Raw genomic sequence first — 16,704 nt, 5'->3', positions numbered from 1 at the left:
ACTGCCCAATATGATACCCTCTAGCCATTCATGGCTACTGAGCAATTGAAAGTTGGCTGGTAAAAATGAAGAACTGAATTATAATTTTATTTTATTTTAATTAAGTTAAATTTAAATAGCCACACGTGACTAGTGTCTAGCATATTGAACATCATAGCTATAAATTAGCGTGCTTTTAGGGACTATCTACTTGAAATATAAGAGTTAGCTTTTAAAAATTTCCCTGACATGTTTTTTCAGCCATTTATATTTGAGTGTTTTATATACTGTTTGGCGTGCAGTGAAATATACAGCAATATCCCTGTCTTGGAGAAAAAAAAGTAAAAATTAAAATAAGCAAAGAGAGACAATACAGAAACATGAGAGTTGCCATAATACACTTTAATCTTCATCACAGAAGAGTTACACTAAGTATAGAGGACTTCAGAAAAGCAAGAGTGCTTTCCAGGTTGTAGTGTTTGTAGGAGGAAGGGACTGGTTATTGAAGCACGTGGTATGTCTTGGGTAGGTAGAAAGAAAGGAAGAGAAATTTCAGGAGGAGGCTTGGTATAAATAAAACTGGGAGGGTAGGAAGTGGTAAGATGTGACTAGGACCCAGTAAGTAGGCTAATTTGCTGGAATATGGAGGTGGTTTGGAAGGTGAAGCTGGAAGTGTGAAGGCTGGAGTCATTATGGTTATAGCTGCTCTTGAATGCATGGCTAAAATCTTGGGATTTATCTTTCAGGCAGTGAAAGTTCAGCCATTGAAGGATTTTGAGCTAAGGAACAACATAATAAGAGTCTTTTTAAGGAAAATAACCTTGCCATCTGTCTGAAATAGAGAGAAATGGGTTAGGAAGCTATTACACTAGTTGAGGCAAGAAGTAAAAGGTTTGTGAACCAGAAGGGTGGCTATAGAAATAGAAGGAAAACAAGGAATGGTTAGACGGAAATATTTTAAGAGATTTCGTAGATTAAAACTGACAGATTTTCTGACATATTAGAATGGATTGTGGTGGCAATGGGAAAGATGAGTCAAGAGGTGACTCCAGGATTGTAGCATTAGCTGAGGGTGGGAGAGTGAGTCCAGTTAAATATATACGCCAGTGAGAGATGGGGACAGATGTATTACACTAGGACCCTGAAGTTTTTCTTGGAGGGTTCCAAGAGGAACCTGAATCACTTGATGGTTACTTCACCACCAAAAAATTGCTGGAACAAACAGTCACTATTTACACGTTAGTGATGCATTTAAAAATTAACTTGAACCGGCTGGGCGCAGTGGCTCACGCCTGTAATCTCAGCACTTTGGGAGGCCGAAGCGGGTGGATCATGGGGTCAGGAGATCGAGAACATCCTGGCTAACACGGTGAAACCTCGTCTCTACTAAGAATACAAAAAAAAAAATTAGCCGGGAGTGGTGGTGGGCGCCCATAGTCCCAGCTACTCGGGAGGCTGAGGCAGGGGAATAGCGTGAACCCAGGAAGCAGAGCTTGCAGTGAGCCGAGATCGTGCCACTGCACTCCAGCCTGGGCGACAGAGCGAGACTCCGTCTCAAAAAAAAAAAAAAAAAAATTAACTTGAACCAAAACTTAATCTGAAAATGTTAGTGTATTATCATGTGAGGACTGAAGCATTTCCAATATGTTAATAAGCACATGATTGTAGAAAATGTAAATATGATGATAATTGGCAATGATACCAGGATTGTACCTAGTGATTTATTGAGCTTCCCTCTCTCCATGTCGCCACCCTGCTGCCTGTCACCACCTTGCCTCCAGCCTTTTAAAATAATTTTTTAGTAGAGTGAATAAGAGCAAACACAGTAAACTATTCTGATAACTGGAATCTGATATCATTTGTTATGAGAATTAAACTTTCATTATTACCCAAATATACTGGGTAATAAACTAAAACATTTTCAGTTTTTCTTCCTTACTAGAACTGGAAGTGGAAAGTTAGTCTGGTATCAGTCATTTTCTTCTTGTAATCTTCATCAAATCTCTCATTCTGAGCCACGGTGAAGTGTTTCTTCCAGTCTCCCACTGCCCCTGAAATACAGTTATGTGGGAGAGGTTCAGTAGCTGTTGGAAGAGTCTGTGCTTCCCTATTCTCCTGTTTCTGTATGATGATTTCTATGCCATGTTCTAGGAAGGGCAGTATTGGACAAAACGTTTCTCTTGCTATCCTGTCACTTCCTTATCCTGAAGAGAAGACAACTTTCTTGTCTGATCTGTGAGACAAGGAGAGTCTCTTGCCACCTGGTTGCATTAGTGGGTGGGCGAGACCGCCATGTTACAATAGCAGGCCTGAAGGGCTTTCTTGTCTTTCCCTGTGCCCTGTTGCACATTGAAGCATGGTGGGTGCTCATGACTGTAGCTCCCATGCTGTAAACTGACCAAGAAGGGCCTATTTCTGGGAGGCCCAAGGTACCATTTGAAGAAGAAAAAATAAGACCTCCCCCCACAAATTCTCTAATTGTAATCCCTGTTACCTTTCCCAGTTTCGTTTTTCTTAATGTTATCTATCTATATATTCTTTATTTTGCTTATCACTAGAATATAATTTCCACGCAGGCATGAATTTTTGTGTTTTGTTCACTGCTGCAAACAGTGGCTAGAACAGTGCCTGGCACATAGAAGCCCCTCAGTAAGTACCTTTGAATGACTGAATCTGATAGCATAGAACTGTCTATAAAATGGATTCTTTGCCCTATCTGACTTAATTCTATATATTTTCATGTTATTAGCCAGAACTCTTAAGGGAAAGTGGGGATAAGTGGTTGGATTTGGACATCAAATCTTACTCTCTTAATCTTAATAATAATTGGCTAATTAAACGCGATTTTCATTTTATCAGTGGCTTCTTAAATACTTCTTTTCCCCAAATCATTTATTACAGATATTATTTTTCCTAGACACAGGAAAGAAAACTCCTCAAATGCTTTAAAATATTTGACAGTTCTTTTAAGATTATAATGAAAATAAACTATAAAAACCTTTTCTCATGAATGGAGAAATGGAGTGGTCCATGATTTCAGCAGGAATCGATGAATAGTTTGCCATTGGATTCTGTTTCATGACATCAAACGAAGTGTAATGGACAATTTTATCTAGAACTTTGTCATCTAATTTCTTCCCAATAAATTCTGCCAGCTTCTGAATTTCATGCTTTGGGTTCTATGATCAGAGTCAAAAGAAAAGTAATGATTTAATAGAATTAGTTTAAAAAGAATATTATGATGGATTAATGACAGTAACCGGTAACATATTACGAGCTAAAATAAAAAACAAATCTTAACAAATGCTCAAGTGACTCATTTTAACGTGATGACCCATATTGTTCTTTTTTTAGTAATTGGAATCACTAATAATTTTTTCCCCTTAATATGTAATCAACTGGGTAGGGTTAGTGAAACATTCACCAGACAATGACATACAGTGCCTAGTGAATGGTTCACTAAGGGAATGTGTCAGGGTTATGTCCACAAGCCCTGCTCAAGGCATTTCAGAAGCACAGGGGCAGAAGATTTAAGACCTGACACAGAGGAAGCTACATCCTGTTTCTGACATTGACAGAAATGTCCCCAGACTGCAGTGATGGCAGGAGGAGAGGAGAGAAGTTTTTTTTTTGCATGCCTCAAGAGGCACTCATGGCTAGTGACTCTGGTACCAGACCACCAAGTCAAGTGGAACTGAGAGGAGCTGAGTTCCAGTGTAGCTACTGATTTCGCATCAAAGGGACATACAACCTTGTGACATCACTGTGGCTGTGGGACGCCTCCATCTCTAGGAGCAGAGGGCGGGTGGGGAAGGAAAGTGGAAGCGCTTACCCTGACCACTGTGTCTATAGTGGGCTTCTGCTTTAAAAGCTTGTATGTCAAAAATGTTTCATTTAATTGACCTCACACAGGCTAGGAATCAGAGAGTGCTGAGAATTGTGAGCTTTGTGGGAACTACAGTGAGGGGACATTCAAGAACAAGATCACAGCAATATTTTTAAAAGTTTTAGGGACTCTGAGGTTAGATTACCTATTTCGATAAAGTTTCTTCCTGGCATGCATAATACGCTAGGGTCTACCTAAACAAAAGAGCCCCATTCCCAGCGACATATCCTTTCTCTGACATGGCTATGATACATGCTGTAGGGAAACATCATCTGCCTGGAGTCTTCGTATGGTGGCACAACACTTTTGTACCAAGTAAAAACAAAGTAAACACAAAGAAGGGAATTTTATACTGATAACCTCATAGGTTGTTCTGCTGGTTCTTTGATCATGCTTCTGAGAATCCTAGAGCTATAACAATTATTTTAAAAACCACATGAAAATAGTCTGTGTTTTCCACTCCTTTGATATTTTGTAGAACTCACTCATATCACAAGGCCCAGCAGTGATTGAACCTTAGAGAAGTGCATCTAAATGGTGATGTGTGCTTGAATCTCCTGGGAATTTTATAAAACTCCAGACTTAGCAGGCCTACAGCAGGCTCCAGTAGCTCATGCAACTAGTCTGTGAAGCACCTGTTGAGTATCAAGGCTTTCAACGACCAATTCAAGAACAGACACTGTAATTCTGTATAGATCTCTGTATTTAGTGGGGTCACAGAAAATAGCTGAGTAGATGATTATTTACAATAAACATCCACTGATATTATCTCATTTAGTCCTCAAATAAATCTTGAATGGGTAAATATTATTATCTTCATTTTTACATTTAAGAAAACTAATTTCCCAAGATGTTAAGTGTCTTTACCAAGAATTGACAGAACTTGATTTCAATAATTTTGAATCTAAATCATTAGTATTTTCCATTGCACCACTTCTTAAAGTTTCTTAAAGCTATTGGCTGGGCGTGGTGGCTCACGCCTGTAATCCCAGCACTTTGGGAGGCCGAGGCGGGCAGATCACGAGGTCAGGAGATTGAGACCTGGCTAACACGGTGAAACCCCGTCTCTAGTAAAAAATACAAAAAATTAGCCGGGCGTGCTGGCGGGTGCCTATAGTCCCAGCTACGTGGGAGGCTGAGGCAGGCGAATGGTGTGAACCCGGGAGGCGGAGCTTGCAGTGAGCCAGAGATCGCGCCACTGCACTCCAGCCTGGGTGACAGAGTGAGACTCCGTCTCAAAAAATAAATAAAATAAATAAATAAATAAATAAATAAATAAAGTATTATGTTCCTCAGTGCTAATAAAAAAACAAAAACTCTGGGCATGGTAGCTCATGCCTGTAATCCTAGCATTTTAGCAGGCTGAGGAGGGTGGAACACTTGGGATCAGGAGTTCAAAACCAGCCTGGCCAACATGGTGAAACCCGGTTTCTACTAAAAATACAAATAATTAGCTGGCATGGTGGCAGGCGACTGTAATCCCAACTACTCCGGAGGCTGAGGCAGGAGAATCTCTTGAACCCGGGAGGCGGAGCTTGCAGTGACTTGAGATCGCACCATTGCACTCTAGTCTGGGCGACAGAGTGAAACTCCTCCTCTGTCTCAAAAACAAAAACAAAAACAAAAAAAACCCAAAAACCAAAGAAACCAAAATGTGCTAGGATTTTTTTTCCTGCTAAACTGCATTTTAAAATAGACATGCAAGGGAGAAAATGACACCATCCATATTGTGTAATAACCTGCCTGTAAGGGAAATGTGCAGCATCCCTGGGAGCACCAGGAAGCTGCAGGTGAGACTGTGTGATACTTAAACTCATGATCAGCCATGTGCACTTTGACAAATGACAGCTGTAACCAATGAAGTGCAGCAATTTTCGGTTCCCCGCATCAATCTGAGTCCCTGATGGGGTCAATGCATTATGACTTAAATGTTTTATGGTCCAGTGGGTACACCTTAGATGGCACTGTGCTCACCTTCTTCATGTCCTCATAGAAGAGATAGAGAATACGGTGTTTGTCTTTGGCTTCCCACCATCCTTTCACATGTTCATGCCAGGAGCCCCAGCACACTGGAGGATGGGATGGAAAACAGGACAATGAGTCACAGAGGTCCTATTATACCACTGAAAGGAGAATTCCTGAAGAGAAGTGAGAATGTTCCATTAAAGAAGGCAGAGCCCCTGCTGGTCAAAAGAAAAGATTCTTTCCTTCTAGGGTGTTTGGAGATTTTGAGAAACGAAGGGAAACAAAGCTAAATTCTCTCACCTTTCCCAGCCAGAAAAGTCTCAAAATACTCTTCCCATGTTCCTGGAGCAGGAAGAGCTTTATTCATTCTTTGGAAATGGTAATAGGACACCATGTTGTCCTTGGGATTTCTTGCTACATAGATTATCTGGGAATGATGAGGGGAGGGGAAGGGAAGAAGCAAAAAAACAGGAATTTTTTTTTTTTTTTTTTGCTGTTACTGCCCAGGCAAGTCATGTTAGGGTAGATACATTTCATACAGTTCATTTTTTCTGAGGCTGCATTCTTGTCATCCTGGTTATGGGAGACTTTTTTTTTTTTTTTTTTTTTTTTTTTTTGAGATGGAGTCTTGCTCTGTCACCCAGGCTGGAGTGCAATGGCACTATCTTGGCTCACTGCAACCTCTGCCTCCTGTGTTCAAGCGAGTCTCCTGCCTCAGCCTCCTGAGTAGCTTGGATTACAGGCATGTGTCACCACGTCCTGTGAATTTTGTGTTTTTGGTAGAGATGGGGTTTCGCCGTGTTGGTCAGGCTGGTCTTGAACCCCTGACCTCAACTGATCCACCCATCTCAGTCTCCCAAAATGCTGTGATTACAGGCATGAGCCAACGTGCCTGGCTAGGATTCATATTAATTTGCATATTGATTATTGTGAAGAGGTATATATATATATATTTAACAAGTGAAGTGTTTTAAGAGGAAATGGAAGACTAAGGTTGTTTTAAGGAGTACAACTCTGAATTCCTTTTGCTTTTTTACCTTACAGTTTTTCTCTAGCAAGGATGGTGGCAGCAAGTGAAAGGGAAGATGTGTTTTCAGGATCCGTGGTGAGGGCATTGCATGAGCTTGTTCCAAACCTGCAAAACTGGTTTTCGATCAATTTCTACGATTTTTTTTTTATCTATTTGCTTCCAAGTCTTGCTGCTTCCATTATTACTACTACAATTCAAAGCATCTATAAGAACATTGTAACTGTAGATCTGGTGTGAGAGAATACGTCTAGCCTATGAATAGATGTTTTGACTAGAACAATTCCTAACCATAACAGTCATCCAAATAAATAAGAACCTAAAAAATTCAAACCCTTTCACCAGGATTATCTTACTTGAGCTTATTCTTTTGAAGTAAAATTAATTTCTAACTAGAGAAACAAAATTTAACTCACTTTTGTACAAACAGTAATTCCATTAGAAAATGTCTGGAGTATAACAATGGCCAGACACAGTTAAAAAAAGACAAAACCATGAAACTTACCAATAATTGTTTGAAAGCCTATAATTTCGAAAGGTGCAAAGACAGTAAAAATCCTAAGTGCATTTTAGGACTGTAGTGAAGTGTGGCTATTTATACTCACCAGATCCTAAGGATGGGATTTTCATTTCGAGGAAAGGAAATCGTTGATGAGTCGGTGCCCGTTTACTTTTCTCCACATCACCTTCATTTTGTATTAATTCCACTATCTCCTGAGTCCATGTTGTTCCTTACGTGCACGTAAAATGAAGATGAATAGACATCTAGTATAGTACATTCCTTAAAATATGATCAAATACTTGTTAGAACATCTATGTCTTTTGTTTTGTTTTGTTTTGTTTTGTTTTTTGAGACAGGGTCTTGCTCTGTATCAAGGCTGGAGTTCAATGGTGCAATCTTGGCTCACTGCCTCCTGGGTTCAAGCGATCCTCTCGCCTCAGCCTCCTGAGTAGCAGGGGTTACATGCATACACAATCACCCCTGGCTAATTTTTATACTTTTTGTAGAGACGGCATTTTACCATGTTGCCCAGGCTGATCTGGAACTCCTGAGCTCAAGTGATCTGCTTGCAAGTGATCTGCTCGCCTCGGCCTCCTAAAATGCTGGGATTATAGGTGTGAGCCACCATGCCTGGACCATCTATGTGAATTTAAAAGCTAGGTTTTAAATGGGATTCAGAAGATAGCATTCCTTATTTATATCTTATTATCATAATATGATTTTAAAAAAATACTCCAATTTTGAATGGACATTAGACTGATAAATATACATTTATTTTTTTCTGTCACAACTATTAATTTGGATTGTTATTATTGTTCTATTTATTTAGCTGTATTGTCCTTAGAAAGGACATTCTCCCCAAATTGTGATCTGCTATAGAGAAATGACTACATGATTTTCAAACTCTCTTTTTCCCAGTTGCATAGCGTAGGAGACACTTAGTATTTGTTGGCTGAATGAGTGAACCATTAGGGCTTGAACTTGATATTGACCATTAGCACTTAGTATTCAATTTTTCGCCTTTCTCTGTTTCCCCCATATCTCATGGGCTGAAAGGCTGTAAAAGGCCTTCCCTAAACTCCTTTGCCACTAAGATTCTGAAGGCTATTTAGATCCCTCCAGTGAGATGCATTAGCCTGAGTTTTGGAAGGCAGTGGGGAGATAGAAGTCATCCTTCCTGAGGTGGTGGCTGCTGATAGTAGCCCCAGCAGATAGAAATTTTGCAGAGACCATTCCACGTTCCATGGCCCAGTGCCCTAGACCCAACCACTGCCACTGTGGCCATAGGTAGAATGGTATCCCCCAGCTTCAGTCTGTCTGTGTCTTGCACTGATCCTGACTGATACAGTGATATTGTGCTATCAACATAATCTTCACCCTTTGATGAAGATCTGTTGCACCAGATGTTCTGGCAAAATCCAGGTTAGGAGGATGTTGAGTTATTTTAGGATGGCTTTTTTTATTTTTTATTTTTCCAGAGACAGGGTCTTGCTCTGTTGCCCAGGCTGGAGTACAGTGGTGGGATCCTAGCTCAGTGCAGCCTCCAACTCCTGGGCTCAATGGTCCTCTTGCTTCAACCTCCCAAATAGCTAGGACTGTGAGTGCACACCACCATGCCTGGCTAATTTTTATTTTTTTTTTGTACATAGGAGTCTCCCTATGTTGCCCAGGCTGGTCTCAATCTTCTAGCCTCAAAAGATCCCCCTGTCTTGGCCTCCCAAAGTGATGGGATTACAGGTGTGAGCCACCATGCCTAGCCAGGATGGCTTTCTGAATCCTGATCTAGGTTGATCTTTCCTGTATTATCTGGCCGAAACTCTATAGATTCCTTTTCCCATATTCTCAATTTAGTGCTTTTAAAGGCCTAGAATAAGGGCATAGGTTAGAAAAAAATTAAATTACATTTTATATTTTATAGTAGTTGGTCTCCTGTATTTTCTGGCAGCAACTTTTATTACAGGACAAAGGGCCAAGATATCTTTAGCTATCCATGCAAAGAATAGTCCAGCCATTTGTACTAGTTTTATGGGAATTTATAGCCATAACACTGAATGTCTATAATGAATGAATTGAATGAATTTATAGACATGAGCCAACATGAGGGCAGATTCAAATGTTGCTAGAGGCTCCGGGGTGAGTGGAATGACTTCTCAATTTATTCTCTAGAGGCCAGTGATTCTATGATGTATTTTTTTCTTGTGTCATTCAGAGTATTATTCTTTTAAAAATTTAGGGTGAACTATTTTTGCCATCTATGCTTGTTTCTTCTTCCTTCTAATAAAATAGCCTTCATTAATGTATATGGTTTTAGTTATGATTAAATATTACTTTAGATGGCAAGTATTTAATTTTCTTAGTGTGCTTTTTGAATTGCTTAAACCTCATTAATGCCATGAAAAACCTAAATGAACCATATCTTTGTACTTGCGTTTGGCAGATAGAGAAAAGATTATTTATGTATTGAATTGATAATCAAGTGGAATTGTCAATGAAATTAAGATGATGAGATGTGATCCTCACCAGTGGCTACTTTTAGAAATTTACATTCAGAAAAATTTGATCCTGAATGGGCTCCTGATGAGTAAGATTGGGAAATCAGGACCAAAATGAAACAGATGGACAAAGAAGAGACCAAGGCCTCCATGTGCCTGCAGAATCTTCTGTCAGGATCTTGAGAGATAAGAACAAAAGAGGATTTTGAACAGTCTCAGAAAATACTGAGGTTTAGATTTTTTGATGTGTGTGTGTTTGTGTGTGTATAACAAGAGTTTTTGACAGCTTGATTTTGCAAAGAGCAAATGTATATACAATTTGTGTGTGGACCCAGTAATGTATTTCTAGTAGATATGTAGATATGCAAAAATATTTATAGAGAACTATTTCCACCTCATCATCACCCAATTTTTATGACGTGGTGGCTCGGCTTAAGCTAGTCCTACTTTTACAGACAACTTTGTTAAACTGATTGTTGAGATAAGGCAGTTGGTTCAAAACTTACCACAAAGGAAGGTGGAAATCAGAAGGATGGTTCTCAGACCCTGAGATGGGAGGGCTGCTGAGGTGATATCAGCATTGCAGAACCAAAGCTCCCCTATTTCTTTCCCAAATCAGACTCAGGATCACCTTTCTAGCTCACACACTCAAAGCAGCTTTTTACAAGATCTACAATAAGGGCCTAGATTGGGAATGAATAAATAAACAAGTCTACCCTTTTGCTCTTAACTGTTTTCACTCTCTCCTGGGAAAGTGAAAAAAAAAAAAAAAGGAAGTACATCATAGTATCATAGGAAGATTGAATTCTAAAAATTTGTATGTCATTTTAGTATGTTTCGGTATAGCTTCAGTTTCCACTAGTAACTTTCCTTAGCCATATCACTCTGTCCAGAGTTTTCCAGATCAACTTCTTTATTTCATGACTAATGCATACTTCCACTTACCTTCCTAACTCTCCTCTTCCCCTTCCCCTGCAAGCCCTTCCACCTACCTGCTTTAGGATAGGTAGAAATAAGCAGGTCATCAGGCTTGGCTTGGAAGTTCCAGATCTTATCCCAGATGTCACAGGTGTCTGTCGGTTGAAGAATTCCCTTCACGTAGTTGACACTTAAGCGCTTTGTTCCATCAAATGTAAAATCCTCCATGTCGTGTAAGGCCATTAGTGTAAGAAATCAGAGGGCTCTTCCAGACACAAAGTTATCTTCAGTCAGCATATGGCTGCGTTGTGGATAGAGGCAGCACTCTATCCACCACACTACCACACTATCCAGCCCTCTAGCACAGGCCTGTCTGGGCCAGCAAACAGGGAGAAAGTGAGTTGCAGGCCTCCCGACTCAGGTTCCAGGGAACTGGAACTCTTGTTTATGACTTTGTCCACTGGCAGTTTCCTGAGGAACTGCAGCCCCCTCCTCACCAGGCTGTGGCGTCACAGCAGAGGCGGCCACAAACCCTGCTGGCCAGCAAACAGGGAGAAAGTGAGCTGCAGGTCTCCCGACTCAGGTTCCAGGGAACTGGAGCTCTTGTTTATGAATTTGTCCACTGGCAGTTTCCTGAGGAACTGCAGCCCCCTCCTCACCAGGCTGTGACGTCACAGCAGAGGCGGTCACAAACCCTGCTGGCTGGGTCCCGTTCCAGCCCTTCCGTTCTCTGTGAGTTAACAGGACATAGTATCACATTGTTTATAGCTCTCATGTCTGTGTCCATTAAACCCTTCATAGATAATTTCAGTAATTATTCCTTCTGGGAATTTTAAACAATTAAAAAGTTGCAGGACTTGCCTGTGAAATTACAGATTCTACACAGAATGACTTCCCTGAGAGACTGCAGGGACTTTCCCGTGGGCTATTAACAGTGGGGGCCTGGATGGATCTGAATCTCCCAGTACAAACATCTGCCAGGGTCAGCTTTGTTATTTTTTAAGAGTAAAATAAATAATGCTAAACTGGAGAATTGTAGGGGTTTCATCACAGCTATGAAAACATGTATGCCTCATTTAAAGCAAAAGGGATGCAGAAAACTCCAGAGTTAACAGAAGACAGTGGCTGCCTTAGGAATCCATTCTGCCCCTGATAATCAGAAATTTCACAACTTGCTTCAGTCCCTGCCCCCGGCCTGGCCTGCACCCCAGGGCCATGCCACACTTGCTCCCCATGGCAGCACTCCTTCTGGAGATCTTGTCGGCTCTTGTGTGTCTGGCTGTCTGATTCTCTTTCTTCGTGTCCCAGCTTTGATGCCCCCTTTCTGGAGAAGCCTTCTTTGACTTTCTATGTCATCTCAAGTAGGTCCCTCCTATTTCCTTGCTCATGGCACTTTGTGTTCCTTTAGAGCAACCATTGACAGTTAGTTTTTGCGTGTTTACTTGTTGGCATTTTCTGTCTCCTTCACTACACTCTAAGGCACATGAAATGGGGCCTGTTGTTTTCTCACTGTTTGATAGCTGTATGCCTAGTGTCTGGCATTCTTCTATTTCTCGAAAGAATGAATGAGTAAAACTAAGCAAAAATTGAGGAAGCGAGTTCCTTGGGCCATCATTATGTGGGGACTAGGTGAGTATGGTGGCTGTGGCTTGACATCCTTCAGAGAGAAGTCAGGCTGCCTGTATTTGAACCCTGTGCCAAGTCCCAGTAGCTGTGGGCAATGGCAGGTTACAGAATCTTTCTCTGTTTCATATCACGCTTTTCCTCAGGTCTGAATTGGGGATCTTAACATTATCTACCTCATGGTTGTGGGGAGATAAAACAGCTTATTTAATGCTTGGCAACAGGGAAATGTTGAATAAATCATAGCTGTTAATAATAATGGGTGACTTTGTTCACCATTTCTCTGTGGCCCATGTTCTGGATGCAAACTCAGAAAAGATCAATTCTTTGGCTTTCCCTATTCCTCATCCCCTCCCTCCAGACCATGGTGAGGTGGATGGGCCCTTGAGACAGAGACTGCCAGGTGGAATGCCTGGGATGCATATGCATTTAAACAGACTTATAAAAATCACCTATAATTTTTCAGTTAGATTTTATTCTATAATCTTTTTGGCCCTGTGTGCCATCAGAGTAGAGTGGTAGATATTCAGCAATGCCTTAGCAGTTTTCTCCAGTGCGTTGTGTGCTAGAGGGGGAGGGCTGGGAGATGGGGGAGGATATGCTTCTGGACCCAAAGATGACTGACTGGGATTGAAAATAGATCCAGGGAAGATGGGAAGTTCCAAATAATTTGAAAAGTGATCTTGACTACAAACACTGCTCTTATTCTCACTTAATGTTTTTACTCAATAGTACTTTCTCATGAGGTTAGGAGAATTAAATAAATATATTTAGTGATTATAAGAATAAAGTTGGTGCTAAGTCTATATTTGACAAGCATTGCTTTGGAATTCTAAATATATGGGTTTGAATTTAAACTGCCCCCTAATAGCTGTGTAACTTTTCTAATACTTATCTCTTCTGAGCCTTTCGTTTTTTATTAATCTCACAGGGTTAATGTAATGTTGGATGTAAATAAGGTATCCTATAATCTTGGGATATATTGGGTACCCAAGATAAAGCTAATATACTCTCCCCCTCTAATTCTTCCCTGAACCTCCCTTTCAACTCTGTCACTGTTTGCTTCTGAGCATGGAGAGGAGATTCCAACTCTTAACGCGCTTTAGATGTCCTTTTTGCAAACTACTAACTTGTTCAGGCCTCAAATGTGATTCATTTGCAAAATTTGTAACTGGGGTTTCCAAACTCTTTTTTTGTTAGTAAAATCCAGCATGCTGGTTACTACCCTTAAACAGGTCTCTGTTTGTTTGCTTTTTACGAAAGGAATATGTAGGCAGGGCATGGTGGCTCATGCCTGTAATCCCAGCACTTTGGGAGGCCGAGGCAGGTGGATCACGAGGTCAGGAGATTGAGACCATCCTGGCTAACACGGTGAAACCCCGTCTCTACTAAAAATACAAAAAATTAGCCGGATATGGTGGCAGGTGCCTGTAGTCCCAGCTAGTCGGGAGGCTGAGGCAGGAGAATGGCATGAACCCAGGAGGCGGAACTTGCAGTGAGCCAAGATCGCACCACTGCATTCCAGCCTGGGCAACAGAGTGAGACTCCATCTCAAAAAAAAAAATAAATAAATAAAATTAAAAAAAAGGAATATGTCTAAAAGACGTTTTGACTCGGCACACTGTTTTAAAACACACCCGGCCAGGCGCGATGGCTCATGCCTGTAATCCTAGCATTTGGGAGGCCAGGGTGGGCAGATCACCTGAGGTCAGGAGTTTGAGACTAGCCAGGCCAACATGGCGAAACCCTGACTCTACTAAAAATAGAAAAATTAGCCAGGCGTGATGGTGCATGCCTGGAATCCCAACTACTCAGGAGGTTGAGGCAGGAGAATCACTTGAACCCTGGAGGTGGAGTTTGCAGTGAGCTGAGACTGCACCACTGCACTCCAGCCTGGGTGACAGAGCGAGACTCGGTCTCAAAAAAAAAAAAGATACCCATTGGAGAGTGAGCTAAGCCTGTGTTGAAAAAGTTGAATTGTAATGGTCTTTGTTCTTTGAATCAATATTTAGCTTAGAGGTATTGTAAATGACTTATTTGTTGTTCAATACTTGAAACCGAAGCAAGAGGAAGAACTAACAAGTCCACATAATTAAAACTGGAATCAAATCCAGATTGTTCAGATATTGATAAATATGGTTTATTCATAACTTCTTTTCCCCCTTCCTCTATTTAGATGGCCTTAAGGCCATTCTGTTTGCAGTACACTATTCCAGGAGCTGAGTAGGGAGAAAATGAAACTCAAATGAATTATATTACTCTTTGCTATAATACTTTAATCAGCTTCAGAGGTTGGAGGTAACTGTAAGCACTTAGTGAGATGAAGCAAGGATGTAGGCAATCTATAATTTCAGACAATTCCTTAAAACATAACCTAAGAACCCCTTACATTCTCAGAAAAATGAAAAGCTGTGTCAAATGCTGGGTCATGTAGAGCTTCCAGCTGTAGCAAATATAGATACAGGATGCCCAGTTAAATTTGAATTTTAGATAAACAGTGAATTAATTTTTAGTACATGCATTTTCTGTGCAATATTTGGAATATACTTATTCTTCAAAATAAATCACTGGTTGTTTATTTGAAATACAAATGTGAGTGGGCATCCTGTATTGCATCTGTCAACCATAAGTAGGGGAGCAGTTCTGGCCAAGTCTAACTCCAAAACAGAAAAACTCCAGGAGCTCAATCAGTGGGATTAGAAACATGCCTGAAGCAGAAAGCCTTTCAGAATTGCACATGAGCTGGGTGACCACTTGCCTCTTTTCCCTGGCTCATGGGGAAAACTTCATACTTTCCAGTTGTTAGCATCTCTGCCAGCCTCTCCTCTGGGCCTGGAGATTCACCCAGCTTGTTTTGTGGAGATGGCACCACCTTTATTGGGGGAACCCACACCTGATAATTCAACATGAGTCCTTTTCTATTTTCCCTAAGTGTCGGCCGATCTGAGAAATAAAGGGAAAGAGTACAAAGAGAGAAATTTTTAAAGCTGGGTGTCCGGGGGAGACATCACATGTCGGCAGGCTCCTTGATGCCCCTGAGCCGCAAAACCAGCAAGTTTTTATTAGTGATTTTCAAAAGGGGAGGGAGTGTACAAATAGGGTGTGGGTCACAGAGATCACATGCTTCACAAGGTAATAAAATATTACAAGGCAAATGGAGGCAGGGCGAGATCATAGGACCGGGACGAAATTAAAATTGCTGATGAAGTTTCAGGCACGCATTGTCATTGATAACATCTTATCAGGAGACAGGGTTTGAGAGCAGACAACCAGCAGGAAGCAGCCAGGTGTGAGCCACTGCGCCCGGTTGTACAACACTCTTAAAATAAAAGTTGGATTTGACCGGTGGAAGTAGTTTGCCAACCACTATTCAAGGTAAATATCTAGAAGTGTGATTGCTGGGCCACGTAGTAAGTGTGAGTTTAATGTTATCAATGCACTGCCAAATTACTTTCCAGAGTGGGTGTATCATTTTGTATTCCCACTATTAATGTATTACAGATCCAGTTAAATTGTATTTTTGTATTCGGGTATCGTCCGTATTTTTTTTAGTCATTCTGATAAGTGTTCTGTGGTATCTCATTGTGGTTTTACTTTGTATTTCTCTAATGGGTAATGAGATTGAACATCTTTTCATGTGCCTATTTGCCATTAACATGCCTTCTTTGGTGAAGCATGTGTTCATATCTTTTGCTTCTTTTTAAATTGTAGGGGAATTTATATCCTCAGATTTTTTATTCTGTTGAAAAGCAATTCTACTCTTCAGTATTGGTAACAAATAGTCCTGATGTTTCAGTGGCTACTAGCATAAGTCTATTTCTCTCTCGTGCTGCCTGTCTATCATGGGTCACCTGAGATCTGTTCCTGATCCCTTAGTACAGGCTTCTCACTGTGAAACCTAGCCTGGCACCCTGCCCCATCTGGAGTGTTGTTGATTGGCATGGCAAAAGTAAGCCATGCTCTAATTAACATTTCTACCCATGAGAAATACATATAACTTTGTCTTATATTTAATTAGCCAAGCAGGCCATTTGGCATGCCTTAACTTCAGAGGTGGGGATGTCCAATCTTTCCATGTCCCTAGGAGAAGAATGTAGCCATAGTGACAACAGCAACATTGTCACTAATAATAAGGTATCTAGGCAGTTCTCATGTATGTCATATTCTCTTACCGTTTCTTTTCAATTAAATTTCTAAAATATACCTGTAATCTCAGCACTTTGGGAGGCTGAGGTAGGCAGATCACTTGAGGCCGGGAGTTCAGGACCAGCCTGGCCAACATGGTAAAACCCCATCTCTGCTAGAACACAAA

At 40.9% G+C, this 16,704-nt stretch overlaps 1 protein-coding gene across 5 annotated transcripts; it reads right to left on the bottom strand.

Annotated features, from left to right (window-relative positions):
• Positions 1 to 360: 360 nt before the first annotated feature.
• Positions 361 to 11,396, bottom strand: SULT1C4 (sulfotransferase family 1C member 4). Of its 5 annotated transcripts, none has more exons than XM_017003807.2 (7): positions 10,844 to 11,396; positions 7,463 to 7,638; positions 6,868 to 6,965; positions 6,131 to 6,257; positions 5,840 to 5,934; positions 2,978 to 3,158; positions 361 to 2,030 (listed from the first exon to the last, which is right to left on the bottom strand). In XM_017003807.2, exons 2-7 carry the CDS (start codon positions 7,485 to 7,487, stop codon positions 1,918 to 1,920), a joined length of 639 nt encoding a protein of 212 aa, XP_016859296.1. In that variant the 5' UTR covers positions 7,488 to 7,638; positions 10,844 to 11,396; the 3' UTR covers positions 361 to 1,917. The 5 variants fall into 5 exon arrangements, 3 of the variants coding, with proteins under 3 accessions (XP_016859296.1, NP_006579.2, NP_001308699.1); NM_006588.4 differs by having other exon boundaries at positions 7,463 to 7,588; NR_135776.2 differs by lacking the exons at positions 6,131 to 6,257; positions 6,868 to 6,965.
• Between the last annotated feature and the right edge of the window lie 5,308 nt (positions 11,397 to 16,704).

This window comes from Homo sapiens, chromosome 2 (genome assembly GCF_000001405.40).
Source record: "Homo sapiens chromosome 2, GRCh38.p14 Primary Assembly".
Taxonomy (NCBI): Eukaryota; Metazoa; Chordata; class Mammalia; order Primates; family Hominidae; genus Homo; species Homo sapiens.
The sequence above is the reverse complement of the archived record's forward strand: the minus strand, read 5'-3'. Positions and strand labels throughout refer to the sequence as shown.

What these genes read in the sequence shown, in the direction of transcription:
- SULT1C4 (NM_006588.4), bottom strand. Translation starts at nt 11,012, where the DNA reads ATGGCCTTACACGACATGGAGGATTTTACATTTGATGGAACAAAGCGC. An exon ending in AATCCCATCCTTAGGATCTG is followed by an intron (nt 6,966 to 7,462) that starts GTGAGTATAAAT and finishes CCAGTTTTGCAG; the next exon opens with GTTTGGAACAAGCTCATGCA. An exon ending in GACTTTTCTGGCTGGGAAAG is followed by an intron (nt 5,935 to 6,130) that starts GTGAGAGAATTT and finishes CCCATCCTCCAG; the next exon opens with TGTGCTGGGGCTCCTGGCAT.